The sequence below is a fragment of the Homo sapiens genome, chromosome 15, assembly GCF_000001405.40.
Source record: "Homo sapiens chromosome 15, GRCh38.p14 Primary Assembly".
NCBI classification, from domain to species: Eukaryota; Metazoa; Chordata; class Mammalia; order Primates; family Hominidae; genus Homo; species Homo sapiens.
Genome location: NC_000015.10, coordinates 22,934,780 through 22,961,230, shown reverse-complemented (window position 1 = coordinate 22,961,230; position 26,451 = coordinate 22,934,780). Strand labels below are relative to the sequence as shown.

Sequence of the window (26,451 nt, the reverse complement as noted above, 5' to 3'; positions counted from 1 at the left end):
GGCCAACATGGTGAAACCCCGTCTCTACTAAAAATACAAACATTAGCCCGGCATGGTGGCGAGCCCCTGTAATCCCAGCTTCTCGGGAGGCTGAGGCAGGAGAATCACTTGAAGACAGGAGGCGGAGGTTGCAGTGAGTCGAGATCATGCCACTTGCACTCCAGCCTGGGTGACAGTGAGACTCCATCTTAAAAATAAATAAAATATAAATAAATAAATAAATAAATAAATGAAATACAAATTAAAAGAACATTCAGATTAAATTATAAAAACAGAAGTGACCCCTGGATTCTGTTGGGAAGCGCCATGCTACTGTCCGGCTCCACCTTGTTCGTGGGCCCCCGTAGGAGGGCACCTGGCCCAAAGCCACCTGCAGCTTTAGAGACATTGTGTGACCTAAGAAACCTCCTGGGATGTGCTGCTAGGAAAGTCATCTGCAAACACACTCCAGGCTTTTCCGCCCAGATGTGGTATTGTCAGGCTTGTCTCATGCCTAAGCAGGAGGAGGGCGGGCCGCCCTGAAGCAGGCTGCGGTTCATGCATGGGCCAGTGGTGTTTCCTTCACATGTTCTGGATGTGCAGGTGTTGCTGTAATGGTGGAAAAGATTTATATGACCTCAGTGAAAGAGCTGCTTTCTGCTTTTGTTCCTTTGATGGACAGCTAAATGGCCTGGATACCTTTCCCACAGTTTTCGTGAAGACCCGGAGCTTTAAGATCAGGATTCTGGTTTACCTGAGAAGCTCCCCGTTAGGTCCCTGCTCGGTTCACAGTCACTGGGGATGTTCTGTGGCACCGCCTGCTTATGGAGCTCCTGTCTCTGCAGGACGTCTCCGGCAAGGTGCCTGGGACATCCCAGAGCACGAGCCCGCTGAAATGGGGCACCCGAAGGCACAGACCACCCCACTGCGTGGGACCTGTGAGGTGTCTTGGTGCATGTGGAGGAAGCTGGTGAGGTTGATGCTGGTGTTTCCAGCCCAAGTGTCTTGACAGCAGGACCCTTGATAGAGATTGGCGAGTGAGGTGTAGTGTAGGTGGTAGCTAAGGTCATGGGCTTGACCTCAGGCTGGAGGCAGTAGGGGATCCCAGGAGACACTCTGCCCACGGGCTGGGCACAGTGGTGGAGCCCGGGAGACACTCGGCCCACAGGCCAGGCGCAGTAGGGGAGCCTGCAGCTCCTCGTGGGTGCACTTGGTGCAGGAGAAGGGCTGGGCTGCTACTGGGCTATGCCAGACCCTGGCAGGGCCAGGCCACATCCAGGCCAGCCACGTGGGGATTCGGGGATTCAGGTCCTTACAGGGGAGGGAGAGACAGGAAAAGAACAGGCACATCAGGAGGTGTGGATGCTGGGTGAAGATGATCTGGTGGCTGCCGTGTAGCCTTTGGTCATCAACCTGCACCCTCCTGGGCCCTGAGAGGAGAACCTGAGAGGCTGGTGGGGAGGGGGAGCACGGGGCTCGATCGCCCGTGGCGCCTGTTCCTCAGCCGGGCGCCGCAGGACCCAGCAGATACACGGTCTGTTGGGCACAGTGATAAGGTGGGGGACAAGGTGGGTGGCAGCCAGTTCCCTTTCCTTCAAGCCGCAGGAATCAGAGCAGGCTGAGAGCCCCCAGCCAGAATGGCCAGCGGTGGAATTGCTTTGTCAAGCGCCCGAGGTCATGCTTGGTGCCCAGCCGAGCCCATGGCCTCCTGAGCAGGCGGGACTGCCCGGCCATGCGGGCCACGCCACTGAGGCACGTGAGGCAAGCCACGGGGCTGCGGCAGCTCCCTGTCCCTCTGGGCTCAGTGTCGGCATCTGTGAATGGGGACCCCCACTCTTCTCCTGAGCGTGGGAGCGCCCCCTCTGTGGTGTGACTGTCCTCCCGGAGACCGCCATGGTGGGTCTGCCCTAACAGAAAGAGTAGGTGGAGCGGGAAACGCTGTCTTCTTCCCTTTGTGCCTTTTAAACATGCACTGGATTCGGGTGAAAGATGAAGGAATGGCCGTCGTCGAGGAGCACTCCTTAATTGTTTATGCTGTCTGTGTGTTGCCCAGGTGCACACAGGTGGGAAAGAAACAGCCCCTCCCACCAGCCTGATCCCTACCCAACCCAGGCATCTGCCAGGTGGGCTGATGGAGCTTCCCCGAGCTCATCTGTGTGCCTGGTAGCCCAGCCCTGGGCTGAGGTGCATGTTCTCATTGTCCTGAGGGCCCCACCTGGGGCAGTGGGACTGGTGGATGGCACAGCGGGTCCTCCATGGCCCAGGGGTGTGGGAGATGGAGGGAGGCCCTTGGGTGTTCTATGAGCGATTGAGACTTTATTCTGTGGAATACTGGGCCCCATCTCTGCCTTTTATTAATTATTTTAGCATCCGAATAGTTTTTTTCATACAAATTTGACAGATAAAGACAGAACTGCTCTCCCTTGCCCTCCTGGGGCACTCTGGGGTTTCATGGCGCATGGTTTGAAAACCACAGCTGTAGGCAGAGAGAGCCAGTGAAAGCGTGAGCAGGAGAGTGACAGGAAGAGAAGCAGAGGTGAGTGCAGGTTTGGCGGTGCCTGGGGGATCAGAGGGAAGCCTGGGGGAGGGCGATGTTAGGAGGTTGTGAGACCACTTGGTCTTGGGAGACCCCTCCCAGAGGCAGCCTGACCCTGGCCGAAGGGGCTGCAGCCCCAAGGTGGGGGGCGGAGGCCATGTGGCGTGGAGACGTGCTCTCTTTCAGGGTTCCTTGGCACACTGTTTTAGATGTCAGCACCTCATTGTGATTTTCAAACTTGATTTCTGTTTCTCTGTTGATGAGGCTGTTCTTTTGAGCTGGTTTTGAGTGGCCGCTTTTGAGGATGGAATTTGAAGTTTTTGTGCATTAAAGAAAGCAGATTACCTCACACCTGTAATCCCAGCACTTGGAGAGGCCGAGGCAGGCAGATCACCTGAGGTCAGGAGTTCAAAACCAGCCTGACCAACATGGTGAAACCCCGTCTCTATTAGAAATACAAAAATTAGCCAGGTGTGGTGGCGGGTGCCTGTAATCCCAGCTACTTGAGAGGCTGAGGCAGGAAAATTGCTTGAACCTGGGAGGCAGAGGTTGCAGTGAGCCGAGATTGCGCCAGCCCGGGTGACAAGAACGAGACTCCATTTCAAAAAAAAAAAAAAAGCAAATTACTTCAGTAATAAAGCTAGTCTAGAAGATGTTATATTGGTTTTTAACTATGCACTGTTTGCCTTGCTGGTCATGACAGCCTGTTTCTGTGCTGCAGCCGTGCGGTCAGGCCGTTTAACCTGGGGAAAACCAGCTGCAGCCATGCTGGCGCGGTCCCCTGCTTCCAAATACAGAAGAGCACATTCTTTCTACACCTGGGAGAGAAAGGGACAGCAAAGTATGCTTTTCTTCTTCAGATGATTTATTTTATGCCTATTTTACATGAACAGCTTGCACAAAAATATTGGAAGTTTCTACTTTTCTGGGAAGTGCCATCATTTTGCATATAGAAGAGGAAGAAAATCAGCTCATGCCTTGTGCACGTTTGCAGAAACATTTCATAGTTTGTCTTTGTTTGATTATGCTGTTTAGCTGGACAAGTGGAATGCTTACAAGTTGTAACATTTTTTGTTTTTTGAGATGGAGTCTTGCTCTGTCGCCCAGGCTGGAGTGCAGTGACACGATCTCGGCTCACTGCAAGCTCCGCCTCCTGGGTTCACGCCATTCTCCTGCCTCAGCCTCCCTAGTAGCTGGCACTACAGGCGCCCGCCACCATGCCTGGCTAATTTTTTGTATTTTTAGTAGAGGTGGGGTTTCACCGTGTTAGCTAGGATGGTCTTGATCTCCTGACCTCGTGATCCACCTGCCTCGGCCTCCCAAAGTGCTGGGATTACAGGTGTGAGCCACTGCGCCCGGCCAATTTTTTGTATTTTTAGTAGAGATGAGGTTTCACCGTGTTAGCCAGGATTGTCTAGATCTCCTGACCTCGTGATCCGCCTGCCTCGGCCTCCCAGAGTGCTGGGATTACAGGCGTGAGCCACCGTGCCCGGCCACAAGTTGTAAAATTTTTAAATGACTGGTTTAGAAATGCTGGGAAGACCCTCTTTCTAGCAAAGCATCTCTCCACCTGTCTCAGTGCGGGCTGCAGTGGCGGGAGTTAGCGTCGGCGTGCCGCCTGCCACAGCACTGCCGCCTGCGTGGCACCGACGCCTTCGCTTCTGCATTTTCTGGATTGTGGCTTCTCCACATTTTGCAACCTTGGTGTTGAGCTGTCTTGGCAGTTTCTATTTTAACACCTAAAGAGATGACTGTTCGGTCCCTGTGAAAAGCTCCCTCTTGACCTAGGGTGGAAAGAGAAGTAAATACATCTCAAAAGTTTATCCTCTAATGTGGTAAAATACAAGGTCCCTCCGTGGCCAGGGGCTGGCTGGAGCGGGCAGTGCACGTTGTCCCTGTGTGTGCAGCCACCATTCTGCTGTGTGCTCGCTGGCATCTTGGGAGCCTGGGCCCGGCCAGAGTGGCCGCATGCACACTGCTGTCTCGGGGCGGCAGTGGGGCCGTGGGGCCATCTGGATGGTGTGGCCACCCGTTCCCCCTTTACCAGCCCCCACCCTTCCTGGCCACCTGCCCCGAGCCTCCCCTGAGATGCCCCGTCTCCAGAGCCCCTGACTTGTTTGACTCCTTTGTTTTGTCTGGTGTCCAAGGCCGGTTTCCCACGGGGCCTGTGTTCTCCCAGGGATGCTGGCTTATTGAAGACACACACACTCACACACATACACACTCACACATACAAACTTTTTTTTTCCTTTTCCCTTTTAATCTCTTGGCACCACCTCTGCTTCCAGGTTAAAGTTAGTCTTGGCTGCTTTAATTTCCATTTGTTTTTGCAGCCTAGTAGTGTCTTTTTTCATTTTCAAGACTGTTGAGTTATGCCAGGACTCAGGGTTATGACCTACTGACTGAGCTGCCTGCTGAGCACGAGAGACATCTCTTTCTTCCCAGCCACCTGCCCTCATGCTGCTCAGACACAGGGAAAAGGACCAAATCATATTTATTTATTTTTTTTGAGACAGAGTCTCACTCTGTCGCCCAGGCTGGAGTGCAGTGGCGCGATCTCAGCTCACTACAACCTCCGCCTCCTGGGTTCAAGTGATTCTCATGCCTCAGTTTCCCAAGTAGCTGGGATTACAGGCACCTACCACCATGCCCAGCTGATTTTTGTATTTTTAGTAGAGGAAGTATTTCGCCATGTTAGCCAGGCTGGTCTCAAACTCCTGACCTCAAGCCTCGGTCTCCCAAAGTGCTGGGATTAGAGAAGTGAGCCACTGTGCCCAGCCCCAAATCACATTTAAAAAAAATTCTGTTGATTCACTGTTCTTTGTTTTGAAGCATGTGATGATTGTGAGGTTTTACAAAAATCACCCTCCCATCTCCTGGGATGTCTGCTGTGTGGAGAAGTGAGGTCCAGGGTCTCTCTGGGAACTGGGTTCCCCAAGGGCAGCATGGGGAGGCACTGGCTGATGCCCTGAGCCCGTGAGCTTGCAGGGGGAGTGTGGCGAGGGCTGGCCACATCTAGATGGGTTAAAGACCAGGAGCCTGGGCGGATCTGCCCGTTTTCTAGTTGGTGGAAGCACTGGTGCATGCCTCCTTTGCCTTTGCCCCTTGGCCTGCTGTCTCCAACTTTCTCCAGCATCTTCAGGGCTCTGCTGGGGCCAGCAGGGTCCTTGACCCTGCTCCCCTGCCTCCCCAGCCCCTGCTGCCTGCCCACGCCGGGGCAACTCTGTCTGTGGCTCCAGCTCCATGCTGCCTCTGTCCTGCCCCTCAGGCCTAAATCGGTCTCCAGCACCTCACTCGCACTTGGAAAGTGGCCATCTGTACCTCTGTGCCTCTGGCCTTGACCCCCTGGGTGGGCACCCGGCACTGGGTCAGGGCGGTTCTCAACCTTGCTCTGTGGCTGTGGGCCCTGGGGCAGCTGGCGACCCCATCCAGCCTCCCTCCACTCATTTGCCAATGTGTCAGGGTGGCCTCCACCTTAAGGCAGCTGTGAGGACCACTTCTTGAGACTGCATCTGTGTGGATCTGAGGCTGAGGGGCAGCCAGTGACATGTGGAAGAAAGGAGGTGGACCCATGGAGCCCCCAGCATGCCCTGTAGGCACTGCCCTTCAAGTGGGTGGCACTGGGAACCTTTGCCTCCTGCCCACCGTGGGTCCCTTGAAGCCCATCTGGGGTTCCACGATCCAGCAGGTGAGTGAGGTGTGCAGCATGATGTGAGCTCAGACACGGAGCCAGTCTGCCACCGCCCGGTGGATGTTGCTCACTCTGTAAACTGCCCTGCAGCTGCCTAGAGCAGAGGTGCATCCCGACCCATGAGACACTCAGAGATTGACCCGGGACTCTGAGGACATCACTGGAAGAGCAGCCAAGTATGATGATGTCCTCCTTTGAAATCTTTATTTTTAAAAACTCTTAAATTTACAAAATAAACGAACTGATGGCTTATTAAAACAGCAGTTCCCCTACCATATTTAAATTCATTTTTATATCTTGACAAGCTATAGGATTTGGAATCAAACATGAGGGTTGAGAACTGCTGCTGATAGAAAATCAGTCAGGGAAGGAAAAAACATCTCTTTATGTTGTTCAATGACATAAACCGAGGGTGGGCATGTTATTTTTGGGTCGGTTCGCCGCCTGGGGAGGCCGGGGGCACAGGCAGCTGGAACTGTGGCATGGTAGCGCCTTGTGACCGAGCTCATGCAGGTCTGGCTGGCTTGTTTTGTTCCCAGCAGTGTGCTCTTTCTGCATGGAGCACGTATTATTTTCATGATCAGCAAAATACCAGCTCGTGTGGGTTCTTACCTGGCAGACAGCGCAGGGAATCTGCGTCCCACCTGGGTGACTCCGTCCTACCTGTTCTTGGCTCTGTGTTCATTTGCCAGGGCTACCATTAACAAAACACCACAGATCAGGCAGGAATTTCTTTCTCTCAGTTCTGGAGCTGGGAGTCTGAGATCAGGGGGCCAGCAGGGTTGGCCTCTCTTGTGAATGGCCACCTTCTCTCTGTGTCCTCTCGTGGTCTTCCCTCTGTGCCTGGTCACGCATTGCCCTGCTCTGATCAGGCCCCAAGCAGTGGACATCAATGTACCTGTCCACACGAGCTGAAGGAGCAGAGACAGAAATGCGATCCTATTGTTTTTGTTTTTGTTTTTGTTTTTTTGAGACAGTCTTCGCTCTGTCACCCAGGCTGGAGTGCAGTGGCGCGATCTTGGCTCACTGCAAGCTCCGCCTCCCGGGTTCACGCCATTTTCCTGCCTCAGCCTCCCGAGTAGCTGGGACTACAGGCGCCCGCCACCACGCCTGGCTAATTTTTTTGTATTTTTAATAGAGACGGAGTTTCACTGTATTAGCCAGGATGGTCTCGATCTCCTGACTTCGTGATCCACCCGCCTCGGCCTCCCAAAGTGCTGGGATTACAGGCGTGAGCCACTGCACCAGGCCCTGATCCTATTGTTAAACTCTAAAGTGCTGGCTAGTAGCACCGGCAGAACAGTTTGTATGCCGTTCCAAATACGTGACTTTAATTATGCTGTTGGATATTTGCACTGTGGCAGCCACTTATAAAGGCTGGTCAGATACAACTGAGGCTCCATTCCAAGGGCAGTGGACACTGGCTTTGCAGTGACCAGGCCAGACCTGGTGCTGCTGCCTGGGAATGGGGGCTTCTTAGACACAGAAGGAGACTAGAGGCTGTGCTGGATGCTGGTGCTGGGGGAAAATCCCTGTGGGACGTGGCATTCATGGGAGGACAAAAGGAGGGCCGGAAAAAATCCCAGGGTGCAGGCGGCTGGAGTCACGCATTGCCTTTGTTCTCTAGCAGTGGGGTGCAGGGTCCGCTGGTGGCAGTTAGAGACGGAGCAAAGTAAATGCACTTGAAAGAGCTTTGGGAGGTGGAACTGTGAGGAGTCAGAGAACAAGATGGGATGAGACATGAGCTCTGATGTGCCTGTGTGGAGTGGACACCGCCAGGGCCCCCACGCTGGCTCTGTAGGTGGCACCCAGGCCAGACCCTGCACCCACGCTGCCAGGGCTGAGACCTTGGAGACTTGGATTTAGAGCTGATTACTCCAAGTCCGCCTAACAGGGTGAGGCAGAAGCTGTGCAGATTCGCATCTATGGAAGATGCACGGACGGAGAGCCCTTGGAAGCGGGCCGGGCCCAGGCCGTGTGCGTGCGGTGACAGCTGCTTGGCATCACACACCAAGGCGGATGTGGGAGGGCTGCCTATGATCATGAAAAACCTGAAATATGAAAATGTGAAGAATAGGAGAGAACAGCAGTTTGCCACAGCAGGGCCCTGGCCAGCACTCCGCACGGTGCTCTGATGACTTGAGAAATTTTGTGGAAGCTGGGAGAAAGAAAGAGCTTACAAAGCAGTTTGTATGACAGTATCTTGTTTTTGTAAGGGACAGTGGGATGATTGATGATAGGTTTTCTTTTTCCTTTTCCATGTTTTCTGATTAATCAGCATCAAACATTGCTATTTTTGATTGTAGTAAAATATGCATGCATAACATAAACTTTACCCCCATGTTTACCTTTTTTTTTTTTTTTTGAGATGGAGTCTCACCTCACTCTGTCGCTGGGGTTGGAGTGCAGTGGTGCGATCTCAGCTCACTGCAACCTCCGCCTCCTGGGTTCAAGTGATTCTCCTGCCTCAGCCTCCTGAGTAGCTGGGATTACAGGCACCTGTCACTATGCCCAGCTAATTTTTTGTATTTTTAGTAGAGATGGCGTTTCACCATATTGTCCAGGCTGGTCTCGAACTCCTGACCTCGTGATTCGCCCGCCTCGGCCTCCTGAAGTGCCAGGATTATAGGCTGGAGCCACCGCGTCCTCCCCCATCTTCACCATTTTAAGTGTACAGCTCAGTGGCGTTAAGTACATTTCACCTTATTCTGCAACCACCACCACTGTCCAGCTAGAGCGTTTCATCTTTCCAAGCCGAAACTCTGTATCCACTAAACACCAACTCCCCAGCCCAGCACGCAGCCCCTGTCACCACTGTTCTCCTTTCTGTCTCTGAGTTTGACCACTTTAGGTAATTTATATGAGTGGAATCATGCGGCGTTTTTTCTTTTGTGACTGGCGTATTTCACTTAGCCTAAGGTCGTTAAGGTTCAACCATGTTGTAACTTGTCAGAATTTCCTTTCTTTTAAGGCTAACATTCCACTGACCACATAAATACTGTTATTTTTATACAAAGAAAGAAGTCTGCAAGCACTGGCTTGGAACAAGCTGCGCATCTGGCGTTTTTCCATGGGTTCAACAAGCTGCGTTATCTGGTGTTTTTCCGTGGGTTCAACAAGCTGCGCATCTGGCGTTTTTCCGTGGGTTCGACATCAGTGGTCCCTGCTGTGGATCACAGCTGACGCACGAGCAGTTCTCCCCCGAGCCTGTCTGTGGCGCCCCTCCCCACCTTCCTCCACCATGGGGTCATCTTGGCCTCTCCTGGGCAGAGGCCGGGGAGGAAGGCGAGTCCCTGTGGGTGCTGCGCGGGGTCAGGGGCTGTTGCCATGTGGGATCTGTGGCTTCCCAGGGTGCTCGGTCCGACCTGTCTTCTTGTTGACCCGCGTGGGGCCCGGGCATGACTGGACACGCCCCCAGGCCTCTCCTGGCACTATCTGGGTTCAGGCCGCAGAAAGGGCAGACTGCGGGACTCTGGGCTGGAGTCGCAGGACACGGGCAGCCCCTATGGGGCCGAAGCACGTCCTCAGGCAGCCTGGCCCCTCCGAGCGGCATCACCCTGAGGTGCCTGCGTGGACACCAAGGGCAGGCCCCCCATGCTGGCTCTGCAGGCAGCGCTGGGGCTGGACCCTGCACCCACCCGGCCGGGGCTGCCCTGCACTGCTCCTTTCTGAGGTGTGTGGAACAGGAAGCTGTGATGTGGAGGGAAGTGGACGAGAGTTTCTGCTACATGTAGATTTCTAGTGAGGAACATGCAGCAGTGACCGGCTGCGGTCGGGGGCGTTCCCTTACGTGTCGGGGAGGTCCAGGTGGCTGGCGGTGCGGCCGGTGCCTCTGTTCTCCCTCATTTCCAGTCAGTTCCTGAGAAAATGGGTGGCGTCTCCAGCCGCCATTGGGGATTGGCCTGCAATTGTTTCCATGTATCTGTGGAACCGGCCCAACACCCCGCGTGGATGCCTGAGCCTGGAGACTGTACTGAACCCTGCGTAGTCTATGTTTTTCCGTACTTGCATACCAGTGACGAACTTTAATTGGTAAATTAGGCACGGTAAGAGATTACAATAATAATAGAACAGTTGTAACAATATACTGTCATAAAAGTTATGTGAACGTGGTCTCTCTCTCTCTCTCTTGCCCTTTGGTGCCCGCCGTGAGATGGCGGTGAGATGGGCGGCGCAGGCATTGCAATGCAGCCTTAGGCCGCTGCTGACCTTGACCAGCCTGGCCATACCGCTGCAGTCCCATGCTGGCGACCCAGCCGGCTACTGTGTGGCTCACAGGCGGGTCGCACATACAGCTTGGACACGCTGGACAAGGGGATGGTTTGTGTCCTGGGTGGGAGGAGCAGGACGGTCTGAGAGTTTATCATCCTACTCAGAACAGCGCACAGTTTAAAACTTACGGAGTGTTTGTGAATGGAGTTTTCCGTTTAATATTTTTGGAGTGCAGTTGACCTCTGGTCATTGAAATCGTGGAAAGTGAAACTGAGATTCGGGGGTGGCTATGGCATTTCTTCTTCCAGCTCTGTCAGCTTTTGCCTAGTGTAACGTGAAGGAAGCTTTTTGGCCGGGTGCATTCACATTGAGGGTTGTTCTGGCTCCTTGGGGAGCTGACCCCTTCCTTCTCTCTCTCTGATGAGTTCCTTGCTCGGAGGCTGGCTGGGTCTGGTGCTGACAAAGCCACCCCAGCTTCCTTTTGGCCAGCGCTTGCCTGGTTCACCTTTTTCCCCTTTTGCTTTCGACTTACCTACCTGTATCAGTATATTTGAAGTAAGTTTCTTGTAGATGGCATATGGTTGGGTTAGGATTTTATTTATCTGTTCTGACAACCTCTTCTAATTGGTGTTTTTAGATTATTATGATAGTGTAATTATCAATGTGTTTCGATTCAGGTCTACCATTTTATTATCTGACTTCTGTTAGATCACTATCTTTATCATTGCTCTATTTCCTTTTAGGTTTTTAAAAACATAGTATTCTGTTTTAATTTATTCTAAATTATATGTTATCTATTTTGCTTTGGATAGCTTTTTTAAAAAGTATGTTAATTTTTCTTTTTTTAAAAGAGGCAGGATTTCACTGTGTTGCCCAGACAGGCCTTGAACTCCTGGACTCAAGTGATCCTCCCTTCTCAGCCTCCCAAGTAGCTGGGACTGCAGCGCCTGGCTGTACAGCTTTCTTCGGTGGTTGCTCTAAGGATTTCGAAGTCCATGCTTATTAACATTTCATATTCTGCTGAGGATCTGAAAAGTCTGCTTTTTACTACTTCTAGTGGGACATAGAAATCTTACCCCATCCAGGTTTCCCCTCCCCCTTTTAGATTACAGTTGTCTTGTTTATATGATTTATACAATTATATACCTAGAAATATTTTATAATTTACTTGTTATGTATTTGTGTAATTTACATTTATGTACACTGAAAGGCCCATTAGACAGTACTTTGATTTTTGCTTTTAACCGCCAAGCACTTTGGAAGAGCTGTGGGGTCGTTGTGTGTCCTGCGCCCTCGCCGCTTAGCCTGCCTACTGCCTCTGCTTTGTGGTTCGTAGCCCATGCCTCCTTCCACCTCCCTTCCTGTCAGCCTGTACCGCTGGCCAGCATGCTCTTTGTTTTCCTCCTCTGCCCACGTCCTGGCTTCACCTTCCTTCCTGGAAGACACGTTCCCATCTTGAGGGAGGATCCCAAGTTGGCACCTCCCCGCTTTAGGCTTAGGCGCATTGTGCCCGCCTTCCGGCCCGCCTGGTCCCCGCTTTAGGCTTAGGCACATTGTGCCCGCCCTCCGGCCTGCCTGGTCCCCGGGGGGAATCCGCGGCCCTCCCACTGTTGCTCTGTGCTCTGCTGAGCGTCATTTCTCCTGCTGTTTTCAAGATCTGTTTTCCTTTATCTTTAGTGTTCAGCAGTTTGACCGTGATGTGTCTGGGTGTGGATTTCTTGTTTGTCTTGTTTGGGATCCATAGAGCTTCTTGAATCTGTAGACAAAAGACTTTCTCCAAATTTAGGGTGTTTTCTGTCATTTTTTTCAGCTGTTTTTCATCACTGCTTGGTTTCCCCTTTTCCTTTTGCACTCTCATGGCACAGATGTTAGACCTTCTCTCTTGTCCTGAAGATCCCCAAAATTTTTTCAATCTTTTTTTCTCTCTGGTATTCAGATTAGAAAACTTAACATTGCTCTATCTTCAAGTTCACTGAATCTTTCCTGAGGTTTTTTTTTTTTTTTACATTTCAGTAGTGTGTCTTTTAGTTTTGAAATTTCCATTTGGTTCTTCTTTATATCTTGTTTTGTTTGCCTTTTGCTGATTTCCATTTTTTCATTCAGTTTGGGAGTGTTACAATCGTTAGAGCATTTCATAGCACAGTAGTTGCTTTAAAGTCGGGTGGATAATTGCAGCACCTGTGTTATTTTGGCATCTGTTGATTCTCTTTTCCTGTAGGAGCCCATACGTTCCTCGTTCTTTGTGTGCTGAGTAATCTGGGCTGTAAGTGGATGGTTGGATGTTATGATATGAGATCTGGGTCTTGTTAAAATCCTAGGAGGATGTTGATATTTTTATTTTAGAAAGCAAACACCCTGAGGAGACTTGGGCTGTGGTTCTGACTTGCCTTCAGTGGGTGGCAGCTCCATGTCAATTCTGGCTTCACAGCCTCCTGCACTGCCACTTGGACCTGCCCCCTGTGTGCCGCTGGTGGCTGTCTGGCTGTGGTCTCAGGGTTTGGGGTGTGAAGAGGATCAGATCCACACCCCTGCAGCTTGAGGATGGGCTTGAAGCTCATGAGCAATTTTGTCGGCTGGCTCTTCTGAGCTGCTTCCTCTCCACACTGCCACTGGGGCTTCCTGGGTCCCTGGAGAGCTTCCCTTCTCCACCCTCAGCCAGTGCAGTGGGACTGACTACCCGTTCCACTGTGCACCTCCATGCCTGCGCCAGTGCTGGAGGAGGGATTTGGGGCTCCTTCTGTTCAGTGTCTCCTCCAGGCCACCTGCTGCTCTTTCCTTCATAGAATGTGGCTCAGCTGCCCCTGGTCCCATCCCAGGGCAGAGCTCCTCCTGAGTACCCTTGAGACTGGAGCAGATTCAGCAGAAGGCAGATTGCCCCCTCTCCCTGGAGCTGGCTCTGAAGGTGTGTTTAGACGATGTCTGCCTTCATTTCTGCACCTCTGCTCCAGCTGCGGTGTGGCACTTTCTGTCCCCTGCGGCAGCCCCATACTCCTTGCAATCTCAGCCTGTCTGTGCAGCTAGACAGCTGGTGTTGGGCGGCAGGGCGCTCGTCTTTTCCATGTCAGGCCCTAGTGTGTTTGGAGGCACCACCTGGGAGGTGGCTGCATTTAGGGAGGCTCTGCTGGGCAGATGTGGCATTGGAGAGGTGCTGCCCCTCCAGCACTTTGAGGGGGTCGTCAGACCCTCGAGAGAGTCCTCAGCACCAGCAACTCAGGACGGCGGCCCCCATGGTGGGAAGGATGGCAGGAACCATGTGCCCCATACTGTGACCCTCCTGGAGGCCAGGAGAGCCTGTTCTCAGCGAGTGTGGAAGGATAAGCTGCACAGGGCCTCCCAGCCTGCTGGCCCACGTGCCCTGAGAGAGACACGCAACTCCCAAGGACTGATCATGCCCCTGTCAGCCATGTCCGGTGCCCTCGGGAGAGCGGGAAGGGGTTAGAGGCCTGGGTACCCAACCTCGAAGCTTGTTGGGTGTCCCCTCCTTCTCCTCACAGAACAGGGGTCCTTATGTGTTGTTCCAGCCCAGGATGGCGGCCCAGGTGACTCTGGAGGACGCGCTGTCCAACGTGGACCTCCTGGAGGAGCTGCCCCTGCCCGACCAGCAGCCCTGCATCGAGCCCCCGCCATCCTCGCTGCTCTACCAGGTGGGTGCCCAGCAGCTGCAGGGCGTACAGCCTGTGCTCCGACCCCACATGATGTTTTTCTCTTCCTTTCCTTCAGCCAAATTTCAACACTAACTTTGAAGACAGAAATGCATTTGTTACTGGCATCGCAAGATACATTGAACAAGCCACCGTCCACTCTAGCATGGTAATGTTGCGGTGTGTCTTTGTTTCTCTCTGCAGAGAAGGGCGTGTTTGAAGGACAGATGTATACTTTTTGGTATTATCCCAATAGACTATGCAGTGAGGAAAAAGAGAAGAAAATGAATGAAATGCCTTATATTTTTAAGACAGTCTTTGCTTTTCTTAGTGTAAAAACAATACATGCTGGTTCTGAAAATTCAATGTCTCTGGCCCAGAGAAAACCTTTGTCAGCGTTTCAAGGGTGCACCTGCCCTGTTAATGCTCATTCCCTCTCCAGATCTGCACCCACACACACCAGGTATGTGCCCATATGAGATTTAGATTTATAAATGAATTGCATTGTTATTATAGTTCTGCTTTTTTTTTGAGACAGAGTCTTGCTCTGCCACCCAGGCTGGAGTACAGTGGCGCGATCTTGGTTCACTGCAACCTCCGCCTCCCAGGTTCAAGCAGTTCTTGTGCCTCAGCCTCCCGAGTAGCTGGGACTACTGGCGCCCACCACTACGCCCAGCTAATTTGTGCATTTTTAGTAGAGACAGGGTTTCACCATGTTGGTCGGGCTGGTCTCGAATTCCTGACCTCAAGTGATCTGCCCACCTTAGCCTCCCAAAGTGCTGGGATTACAGGCATGAGCCACCACACCTAGCTAGTTCTGCATTTTAATGGTCTCATCAACAGGTTTTCTTTCTTTCTTTTTTTTTTTTGAGATGGTCTCACTCAGGTTGCCCAGGCTAGAGTGCAGTGGTGTGATTAGGGCTCACTGCAGCCTCAACCTCCCGGGTTCAAGCAATCCTCCCACCTCTGCCTCCTGAGTAGCTGGGACTACAGGCACACACCACCATGCCCATCTACTTTTTTGTGTTTTTTGTAGAGGCGAGGTCTCACCATGTTGCCCAGGTTGGTCTTGAATTCCTGGACTCAAGGAATCCGCCTGCCCAGCCTCCCAAAGTACTGGGATTACAGCCTGAGCCACTGCACCTGGACAAGAATATTTTCATGCCATGAAAATGTGCTAGAGAAAGCAATCCTTAATGGCTACGTAAACCATTTTGTAAATGTCCACAATTCAACTATTTTTGCGCATTGACTTCCTCTTTTATGTCGTGTAATAAAAAAATGCTGTAGGCTGGGCGCAGTGGCCCACGCCTGTAATCCCAGCATTTTGGGAGGCCAAAGTGGGCGGATCACCTAGGGTCAGGAGTTCGAGACCAGCCTGGCCAACATGGTGAAACCCTGTCTCTACAAAAAAAAAAAAATACAAAAATTAACCAGGCATGGTGGTGCGCACACCTGTAATCCCAGCTACTCAGGAGGCTGAGGCAAGAGAATTGCTTGAACCCGGGAGGCAGAGGTTGCAGTGAGCTGAGATCGTGCCACTGCACTCCAGCCTGGGGGACAGAGCAAGACTCGTCTCAAAAAAAAAAAAAAATACTGTGATGAACGTCTCACTAAATAAAGGCTAGATTTAAGAGCATCTATTTGATTTTTTCCAAAGGAAACGATGTTAAAGAGTGGAAAGCAAAAGCAGTTTTACAGCAGTGATGACAGTCCTCTTCCCATGGACTCTCTACCTAGATTTTAAGTGCTGTGGGCGTGCTCCTAACTTTTCCTCCTGCACACCCGGGGCTGGCAGCCCTGCCTCTAGTCCTCTCTGGGACCGGGAGGCCCTGTGAGCCAGTGAGGAGGCCATGGGGATCCTGTGTGTGCTCACACCGGGCAGGGCGTCTGCCCTGAGCCCTTCCTCTGTGTTCCTAACTGCAGGTCTCATGGCCAGCAGGTTGTTGAGGGCTGGGTGGAGCCAAGGTGTAACGCCTGTGGCACCCCTCAGAGATGCCTGCGTGTCACTGACACCCCTCTCGCCTGCAGAAGCCATGGGGTGTTTTGGGTGGTCATTGTGGCCCCCAGCGCCGCACCTCAGTGTCACTAGCTTCTGGCAGCCGTCTCTTGGCACACAGGCCACAGTGCTTAGGATAGTTTGTGGCGCTTTGTCTGGATTTTAGCAACTGGCATCTGCTTTTCATGCTAGTTCCCCCGCCTGCCTTTGATTTGCCCTGTGTTCCATTGCAGAACGAGATGCTGGAGGAGGGCCAAGAATATGCTGTCATGCTGTACACCTGGAGGAGCTGCTCCCGGGCCATCCCACAGGTGCCACGCTCGCCTGGCTCTTCCCCTCCAGCCACACCCTGCCAGGCCCCTGCCACACCACACCCCTGCCCCTGCCATGCCTGGCCCACTCTCCTCCCAGTTCTCACCCCACAGCAGGGCGGGATCACTAGCTCTAGAAGCCCAGCGGCTGCTTCTGGCTGGATCAAAGCCTCTTATGTCATCCTTGTTCCTTTATTCCCAGGTGAAATGTAACGAGCAGCCTAACAGAGTGGAAATCTACGAGAAAACCGTGGAGGTTCTGGAGCCTGAGGTCACAAAACTGATGAATTTCATGTACTTCCAGGTAAAATGGCAAATAATCTGGGGGGGGTGTAACACCGAGGGGTGGGTTGCTGACCCCTTCCTACCCATCACTGTCACTGTGAACACCCTGAACAGAGTGCCTGCAAATTAAAGCAACCAGTTTCTGAGACAAAAGGGACCAAGCCTTTGACAGTCTAAAGTTCCTCATGCCCTTTCGGAATCAACGCTCCTTTTGTGGTTCACTTCTCTTCTCTGAGAGTGATTTTATGTTTCCTTCATGGAGCCTGCTTTCTGTCAGTTTCAAGTACAATGCTTTGACTTTTTGCCAGTTTGTACTTTTTTTTTTTTTTTTTTTTTTTGAGACAGAGTCTTGCTTTGTCGCCCTGGCTAGAGTGCAATGGCATGATCTCGGCTCACTGCAACCTCTGCCTCCCAGGTTCAAGCGATTCTCCTGCCTCAGCTTCCTGAGTAGCTGGGATTACAGGTGCCCGCCACCACGCCCAGCTAATTTTTGTATTTTTAGTGGAGACAGGGTTTCACCATGTTGGCCAAGCTGGTTTTGAACTCCTGACCTCAGATGATCTGCCCATCTTGGCCTCCCAAAATGCTGAGATTACAGGTGTGAGCCACCACGCCTGGCCAATTTGTACTTTTGTTTTCGTCTGCTCTTTCAGGTATTTTCTTGCTGTTAGCCTCACCCTGACTGTCCATTCCTGGTGGTCCTCGCCCTGGCCTTGGTTAGGCAAGAAGTAGCCACATGGAAGGGGCTTGCTGCTTTTTAAAGAAGTATTTTGGAAACATCCAGATTTTTTATGATGATGTCCTTCAGCAAAGGGAGGAGATGGAACTAACTGGGAGATGAATTTTTGTTTTACCTTGAAAGTTACCAAGAGGAAAAAAATCTCTCCCAGTTTTCACTTCTGAAAGTTAGAACATCTGAATTTTACAGGCGTTTTATTGGAGCATTTTGCTCAGTAATTTTGCTGGAATAATCAGCAAGATTTTGTTACTTTAGTGATGTAGTTGGTAAAGTGCAAGTCAAGTAATGATGGTGCAGAGCAGGCAGTGGGAGCTGCTTTCAGGAAGGGGTCTGGTTGCCCACATTGTAAACACTTCGGCCTGGAGCCTCACTGGGCAGATCGTTTCTCATCGAGGAGCAGTGACTGCAGGTGCTTGAAGGAGGGACATGGGCTTGGCTCCTCACTGACCTGCAGCTTTCTGCCCTCCTGCTTCCTCTGCACAGAGAAATGCCATTGAGCGTTTCTGCGGGGAAGTGAGGCGCCTGTGCCATGCCGAGAGGAGGAAGGACTTCGTGTCAGAAGCCTACCTGATCACACTGGGCAAATTCATCAACATGTTCGCTGTGCTGGACGAGCTGAAGAACATGAAGTGCAGTGTGAAGAACGACCACTCAGCGTACAAGAGGTGAGCACCCACCTCGCGCACTGCGGGCCCTCCCGAGAGCACCCAGCTCAGTGGCCTGCCTTGTGCACAGCAGGTGTGCGTCTTTGTTTGCTGAAGTCGTCACTTCTGGTAGGCAGCAGCTACGTCTCAGTGTCAGGGCTGTGTGAGCACCTGCTTCGAGGGATAAGGTGAGGGGAGCCAGCAGATAAGTGCATATCGTGGCTTTGCACAGCTAGAGCAGGCTCTTCGTGCCCTGGCTGTCCTCAGATGTCACAGAGGACCTTCGAGCCCCTGGGAAGACAGACATGCACAAGATGTAGGCCTAGCTCACAGAGCACAGGCATCTGGCTCAGGGAGCATCTTGGCAAGGGGGCAGGTGGCCTCTGCAGCCTACCTTGGGCGTTGGGGCTGCAGTCCTCGGTGCCGGTCACTCGCCAGCGGGGGTCCCCAGCACATGAGCACCATCCCAGCAATGTGCAGACGTGGCCCGTGCACAGTCACAGGGTGTCTCGTGGTCACACTGCGCTTCCAGATCCTCTCCCTGGTGGTTTTCTTTCTGGATGTAGAGAGCTTCTGGAGAAGCTAGCCTCTGGAGAGGCTGGCAAGACGAGCGGAAGAGGCAGGCATGGCCCAGTGTGTGCTTCTGGAGCAGTGTGGGGCAGTGGGTGGCCGATGGGCATTTGGTGACACTCGGCGCGCTGCCGACCGGCGTTCGGTGACACTTGGCACGCTGCCGACCGGCGTTTGGTGACACTTGGCACGCTGTCTCCTGATGCTCTTGCTCTGCTTCATCTGTGCTCAGTGCTTTTGAAGACATGTTTTGCTGGAATGAGATGCTAATTTCAATTTCCTCTGCTAAGTAAGGCATCTTAGCTCTAAAATTAAATTCGAAGAGACCTTACTTTGCATCTGAATATGCTCTAGTTATGTTGCATTTTAAATCATACAACTGTTGCTATGTCTTTATTTTAAAAACCCACTTGGGACAAAATGAGGCAGCAGTAGGAGTCAAGCTAGGTCAGGCAGAATTTTAAGCCTCATTCATGTGAAATAATGCAGTGTTCCATTTATCACCTAAAATCATCAGCTCTGCACAGAAGTCTAGATCTTCAGAACTAGAGAAAGGTCTCTGGAGTTGACCTGTGAGCCCCTCTTGGGGCAGAAGTCTGAAGGGTCCCTGTTTGATAACAGCATCTGTGGGAATCTAGCATCGAGACTCACTGGTCGGAGTGGGCTCCTGGTCCCAGCCGCCCAATCCAGTAGCTGTGTGATTTTAAGCAGCCTTCTCAGCCGCCGTTTTGGCTTTGTCAGGGAAATGGGGGAGGTGGTTTTCAATATTTAAAAGTATTTAAAAGTTGTGTGTGTGTGTTGTTGTTTTTTTTTTCCTTTTAGCACTAGCACCTTTATTCTAAAGCCTAGTCTGTAAAACAGTTTACAGATGGGGCTGCTGTGTGCAAAGCTGGGGGAAGGAGGGTTTCCCCTCTAGCGTCTTCACCACCTCCAGGTTCCCCTGAGCACCAAAGAGTGGGCCTGGGGCAGTTCCGTAGCTCTTACTGCTGCCTCTTCCTCTGACCTCTATCTGGGACCCCTGTTGGTTAACCTTCCCAGACCATCACCCCCACCCCTCCCAAGACCCCCACCACACACACACGCATCTAGCTCTTTTGGCACCTGCTCGTGGCTACTAGTATAACCTCTTTTAAGTGTCAATGCCAAGATAACTCATATGGTTATGGTGAGGCTTGAGGAAAATAGAAAACAGTATCCTTGACCCTTTCCTTAGTCTCCCCACCCGCCACCTCAGCAGCTACTCAAATCAATAAAGCAAACATGGCCAGGTGCGATGGCTCACACCTGTAATCCCAGCACCTTGAGAGGCTGAGGCAGAAGGATCACTTGAGCCCAGGAATTTGAGACCAGTCTGGGTAACATAGCAAGACCCCATCTCTAAAAAAACAAGAGCAAAAAAAACTAGCTGGGTGTGGTGGCATGCACCTGTGGTCCCAGCTACTTGGGACGCTGAGGTTGGAGAATCACTTGAGCCCAGGAGGTAGAGGCTGCAGTGAGCTGTGATTGTACCACTGTATTCCAGCCTGGGTGACAGAGTGAGACCCTGTGTCTATTTAAAAAAAAAGGAAACATGGTTTTTTCTTTTTGAGACAGAGTCTCACTGGCCCAGGCTGGAGTGCGGTGGCACGATCTTGGCTCACTGCAACCTCTGCGTCTCCTGGATTCAAGCAATTCTCCTGTCTCAGCCTCCCGAGTAGTTGGGATTACAGGTGTGAGCCACCACACCGGGCTAATTTTTATATTTTTAGTAGAGATGGGGTTTCACCATGTTGGCCAGGCTGGTGTTGAACGCCTGACTCAAGTGATTTGCCTGCCTCCTTCTCCCAAAATGCTGGGATTACTGGCATGAGCCACCATGCCCCGCCCTGGAAACATGTTTAAAAAGGCAAGGAATGTTACTGTATCAGTTAATATTACGTTTAACTGTATGCAATTATTTAAAGCCCAGATAAATAACAGTGGCTTTAAAAAGATTGCAGTTTATTTCTCTGTCTCCTGAAAAGTCCTGAATTGGGTGGTCTGCAGCTGATCGAGGCTCTACGGGACCCAGGGCTCCTGTGGTCCTGCGGCTCCGCTTCAGGTGTTGCCTCCTGGTCCTAAATGGTTGCTTAAGCTCCAGCTGTCATTTCTCCATTCCAGTCAGCAGGCAGAAAGTGGGGAAAGATGGGCTCCATGCTTCCTCATGAGTAAACTTTGAGTGCTTGTCAGTATCTTGCATTATATCTCATGGCCTAGTCCTTGGTCACTTGGCCACAGCTAGCTGCAGGGTGGGCGAGGCACACGGAATGTGTGGGGCTCCCTGGAATGTGTGTTCCACAGAAATGCAGGGCTCGTTCCTAAGGAGGAAGGGGAGGAAGTGAATGTTGGTGTAGGTTATCAGCCTTTGCCTTGGTAACTCTTAAAACTAAACCCCCAAGGTTCTGGGTTGCACAGACCTATCCTTATGTGGGCCGTTTCCACTGAACTTTCTTGCGGGACAGTCCTAGATGATCAGAATCCTCACACCCCCACCTTCACCCTGCCCTGCCAGACCTCGCAGGCTTAGCATGGCCTTGCAGTATTGTATTGTTGGGCCTCACGTACGGGTGTAGCTACAAATTGGTGGCAGGCCAGGGCTCTGTCTCAGGACCTTGGACACCAGTGGTCCCTGAGGTGGCCTGGGGAGGTGTGGTCCAGAGGGTTCCCAGCAGAGAACCTCAGCAGTGCTGGCCGGCTTCATGGCAGGGCTTGTGGGAGTCACGGAGATGGCAGTGGCCCTTCTCAGACTCGGGGTCCAGGAGCCCTGTGCCCCCTAGATGAGGTGGGCGTCCACCAGTATAGGGCAGAGACCAGTGTGCAGGGACCCTGCAGGGAGCCGTCAGCTGTGACCAGCCGGGTGGAGAGCTGTCCCAGCCTGTGCAAGACACGTCTAAGTTGGCAGAAGACTGACCTGGAGTGCAGGGCCAGAGACGCCTGAAAAGGCTGAAATCATAGGTGGCTTCTGAGATTGACCCACATTTCTGCAGATGACTGTAGGGGAAAGGGATCCCACTCGAACCAGGCTTTTTTTTTTTTTTTTTTTTTTTTAAATGTGGCACGTTGGTGCATTTTGGGATGAATTCTTTTTGTTTTCAAAGGGCCGCTCAGTTTTTACGTAAAATGGCAGATCCACAGTCCATCCAGGAATCGCAGAATCTGTCCATGTTCCTGGCCAATCATAACAAGATCACACAGGTAAGGCTGGTGTTTGCACACTCAGGTTGATGGGCCAAGCAGCCGGCCGGGCGCCGGGCCCATGCATGAGTCTCTTGCTCTGTGTTTCAGTCTCTGCAGCAGCAGCTCGAAGTGATTTCTGGCTACGAAGAGCTCCTGGCAGATATTGTGAATCTGTGTGTGGATTACTACGAGAACAGGATGTATTTGACGCCCAGTGAGAAACACATGCTTCTCAAAGTACGTGTGTGGGGACGCTAGCCCGTGGCACTGCCGAGGGACAGCCTTACTCTTGTCAATAGGCTGTGCTTTATCTAGAATCCTTTTGACAGCTGTGTCTTATTTGCATGCTGTCATGTGTGAACAGCGTCCTGCCCTTGCACACAGCCTGCACAACAGGCTCTCAACACACCCCATGAGTGTGTCACACACTGACCCTGGGAGAAGGTGCTGGCCAGGAGGTCCGGGTCAAGGATTCTCAGCTTTTTTTTTTTTTTTTTTTTTTTTTAAGCTGCTTTTCGTTTTATTCTCAAGGCAGGGTGTTGCTCTTGCCCAGGCTGGAGTGCAGTGGCACAATCACAGCCCAATATAGCCTCAACCTCCTGGGCTCAAGTGATCCTCCCACCTCAGCCTCCTAAGTAGCTGGGACTACAGGTGCACGCCACCATGCCTCGCTAATTTTTAAATTTTTTGTAGAGAGAGAATCTTGCCATGTTGTACAGGCTGTTCTCAAACTCCTGGGCTCAAGGGACCCTCCTGCCTCAGCCTCCCAAAGCTCTGTGAATACAAGCTTGAGCCACTGCCCTTTTTATTTTTTTTTTATTTTTGAGACAGGGCTTTGCTCTTTCACCCAGGCTCCAGTGCAATGGTGCGGACACAGCTCACTATAGCCTTGACCTCCTTGGCTCAAGTGATCTTTCTGCCTCAGGCTCCTGAGTAACTGGGACCACAGGCACTTGCACCAATGCCCAGCTAAGTTTTTGAATTTTTGTAGATATGAGATCTCACTTTGTTGCCCTGGCTGACCTTGAACTCCTGGGCTCAAGCAATCTTCTTGCCTTGTCCCCCGCAAAGTGCTAGGATTACAGGCATAAGCCACCATGCCCCGCCAGCTTTGTGACAGAAGTTATCCAAGATTCTACTTGTCAAGCATGTGATTCCTAGGACTTTGATACCTTGTGTCACATAATTAAAGTAGCCTTTTGTTGGTTCACCATATTCTTTATTATTCTGTTCAAATTAGGAAGCTTTCCATCTGTGTTTCTCATGGGAAAGATGGGCGGCAGTTCGGCTGTTCCCTTTGCTCTCTTCTCCACCTCTGCAGGGTGGCCTTGGGGGACCCTTTGCTGGGTGTCCCACCAGCCCAGCCCCCAGACTCCTCCTGAGCAGGGGAGCACTGTCCACGGAGTGCTTTGTGACAGCAGAAACGTTGTGTCTGCACCGGCTGGTGTGGGAGCCCTGGCCATGAGCCCCTGCGGAGCACTGGAGCATGCAGGTGGCTAGTCCACGTTAAGAATTTTTAGTTTGTGACTGGGCACGGTGGCTCATGCCTGTAATCCCAGCACTTTGGGAGTTGAGGTGGGTGGATCACTTGAGGTCAGGAGTTTTACACCAGCCTGACCAACATGGTGAAACCCCATCTCTACTAAAAATACAAAAAAAATTAGCCAGGCGTGGTGGTCATGGGCGCCTGTAATCCCAGCTACTTGGGAGGCTGAGGCAGGAGAATCGCTTGAACCTGGGAGGCAGAGGTTGCAGTGAGCTGAGATGGCACCACTGCACTCCAGCCCGGGTGACAGAGCCAGACTCCATCTCAAAAAAAAAAAACAAAAAAAGAATTTTTAGTTTGCATACACCGAAACTTAACTGGTTACATGTGGCTGCATATTGGACATTACTTTTAATGGCAAAAAAAACGCAATTACTTTTGCACCAGCTTAGTAGCTCTAGAATATCCCTACCGCTTGGGTTAGGCTAGGGGAGAGGATTTGTTTTTTCCGCTTTTAGCGACTGACCTGGAAGCCCAGCCCCGCTTTGTATCCCAGTTTCACTGAGGATAAAATGATGCATTTCAAGCACCAGACAAGCAGCCTAAAGATAGATCTTTGTGATCTATTTCAAATTGTGCCTTCAAAGTCATCAGCTGTAACAGTGTAAGTCCTTATGGGTAGTGAAATTCTCAGTTCTGAGCTTTGTCGCATCATTCATTTTGTGGCTTTTCAGGTCATGGGATTTGGTCTGTACCTGATGGATGGGAGTGTCAGTAACATCTATAAGTTGGATGCCAAGAAAAGAATAAACTTATCCAAAATCGACAAGTACTTCAAGGTGAGTTACATGTTTTTAGATCAATGTTTTTATTGATTTGTGTGCACTTTGAATTTTGGGGAAGTGAGCCCCTGTGTGACTGTGATCTATATCAGGAAACGCTGGGGCTGGGTGGAGTCTGGGGCATGCACGTTCTCCCGTCTGCAGAGGTGACCGCGCTTTCTCTTTCCTTTTGCCCTGTGCTGGTTTTGCCTGGGTGGAGCTTTATACAGATGGAATTGTGCTATTTGTACTCTTCTGCGTCCAGCTGCTGTCACCAGCCTCTTGTTTGTGAGGTGCATCCTGGAGGAAGCCCGTAGCTACAGCTTGTAGCTTTCGGTTGTGGTGTAGTTTTCTATCTGATGACTACACCGTAACTTATCCGTTCCAATGTTGGCGGGCTCTCGGATGTTCCCAAGTTTTGGCGCGTCCAAACAGTGCAGCTCTGGTCGACTGTCCTCTGTTGGGTGCATACCCAGGAGAGGGACCGGGGGTCACAGGCCTGATCTGTTTTCAGTGTCAGTAGTTACCTGCAGCCTGATGACGCTCCAGCACAGCTGTCCTGATCTCCGTTCCCATCAGCAGTGAGAGAATGCGCCGCTGGTGCCACATCAGTACTTAGCACTGCCTTTTTGGGGTGGGGGGATATCCTGAGGATGCGTACAGCATTGAGATTGTATTGGCTAGTGTTTCATTGTATTGGCTAGTGTTTCGTTCATGTTTCCCTAATGGCTTTCCATGTTATTAGCGTGTTCCCTTCGTGATGTGCCACTTCAAGTGTTTTGCTCTTTTTTCCCTATTGATTTACAGTTCTTTATATATTCTGGATACATGTCCTTTGTTGGACACAAGTGAGTTTTTTTGTTTGTTTGTTTTGTTTTGTTTTTGAGACAGGCCCTCGCTCTGTCATCCAGGCTGGAGTGTAGCAGGCCTTGGTGATTTCTCCCACCCCAGCCTCTCAAGTAGCTGGGACTACAGGTGCTTACCATCATGCTTGGCTAGTTTTTAAACTTTTAGTAGCAACGAGATCTCCCTATGTTGCCCAGGCTGGTCTCGAACTCCTGGCCTCAAGCAGTCCTCCAGCCCTGGCCTCTCAAAGTGCCAAGATTACAGGCCTGAGCCACTGCACCTGGCCTTACATTTTAATATACATGTATTCTCCCCTAAGAGGCCTACCCTTTCACTTTTTCCCAGCTTTATCAAGGTGTAATTGACAAGTAAAAATTGTATGTTTATGGTATATGATGTGATGTTTTGATACACATACACATTGTGAAATGATGAATTCAAGCTAATTTAACATGTCCATTACCTAACACACCATTTTTTTTATTTTGTGATGAGAACACTTAAGATCTACTCTTTTAGCATATTTTAAGCATTCAATGCATTGTTATTAACCATAGCTACTGTGCCATAGATGAGGTCTTCAGAACTTAACTATGCTGCGGAATTGAAACTTTATACGCTTTGACCAGTATATTCCCTTCCTCCTCCTGCCTCCAGTAGCCTTTTCGCGTTCTCGATGGTGTCATTTGCTGAACAGAAGTTTGTCATTTTCATGTAGTCTCATATATGAATCTTTTCATTAATGTCCACCTAAATAAATCTTTGCAGCCATCCAGCTCATGAGACGTTTCTGCTGTGTTAGCTTCTAGAAGCATTCTGTCTCCTTTTTCACCTAGATCTAATCCCCCTGGAACTGACTTCTGCGCGTGGTAGGAGGTAGGGGTTTCGTGTCCTTGGATCTTTCCCAGTATGGCTTCCCAGTTGGGCCTGCCCATTTATTGCAAAGCCCATTGTTCTGCAGTGCTGCTAAGGTCATGAATCTGTCTGTGGCTCTGTCCAGGTTCTCTGTCCTGTCCACAAGCCTCCATCCCTGCTCCAGGGCCACACTGCCTTAATTGTTGGAGCTTTCTAACAAGACTCCTAATCTGGAAGGGTGTGTCTTCCAGTTTTGTCCTTCAGGATAGTCTCAGATATCATCCCTTCACCTTTGGAGATGCACGTTAGAATTGATTTCCTGATTTATACACACTATCCCCCCAAAACCATTTTTTTTCTTCTGGAATATTGACTGGGATTGATTATAGATCTATTTTGAGAGAATGGACATTTAAAAAATTTGAAGCCTTCCTAGGCACAAACATGATCATTTCTCCATTTACTGAGAACTTTTTCTAGAATTTTCGGGGTAGTACTTTTGTTTAGAGGTCTTGCACATTTTTTGTTAGATTTACTGATGCATTTTTTTTTGGATGCTGTTGCAAAGTATTTCTCTTTAAGTTTTTGTATTCTGATTGTTGCTAGTATATAGAAATGCAGTTGGCTGGGCACGGTGGCTT

At 51.0% G+C, this 26,451-nt stretch overlaps 1 protein-coding gene across 9 annotated transcripts in view, besides 1 other annotated feature; it reads left to right on the top strand.

Annotated features, from left to right (window-relative positions):
• The window catches only part of CYFIP1 (cytoplasmic FMR1 interacting protein 1), a 113,847-nt gene that overhangs the window by 19,668 nt on the left and 67,728 nt on the right, over window positions 1–26,451 (top strand). For 4 of the 9 annotated variants that reach the window (NM_001324119.2, NM_001324120.2, NM_014608.6 and 1 more), the window contains exons 2-9: window positions 13,940–14,062; window positions 14,139–14,228; window positions 16,292–16,369; window positions 16,572–16,673; window positions 17,877–18,058; window positions 21,724–21,820; window positions 21,911–22,039; window positions 24,023–24,127. In NM_001324119.2, the coding sequence (NP_001311048.1) occupies window positions 13,940–14,062; window positions 14,139–14,228; window positions 16,292–16,369; window positions 16,572–16,673; window positions 17,877–18,058; window positions 21,724–21,820; window positions 21,911–22,039; window positions 24,023–24,127 (906 nt within the window). Of the gene's footprint in view, window positions 1–13,201; window positions 13,321–13,912; window positions 14,063–14,138; window positions 14,229–16,291; window positions 16,370–16,571; window positions 16,674–17,876; window positions 18,059–21,723; window positions 21,821–21,910; window positions 22,040–24,022; window positions 24,128–26,451 lie in introns of all 9 variants that reach the window. The other 5 variants (NM_001287810.4, NM_001324123.3, NM_001324124.3 and 2 more) reach the window with 5 other exon arrangements.
• Window positions 13,419–14,103: an enhancer, noted in NCBI's record as "H3K4me1 hESC enhancer chr15:22925256-22925940 (GRCh37/hg19 assembly coordinates)". NCBI's record gives its function as "activates a minimal SCP1, AML or CMV promoter by ChIP-STARR-seq in naive H9 embryonic stem cells {active_cell/tissue: H9 hESC(naive)}" and the evidence as "EXISTENCE:reporter gene assay evidence [ECO:0000049][PMID:30033119]".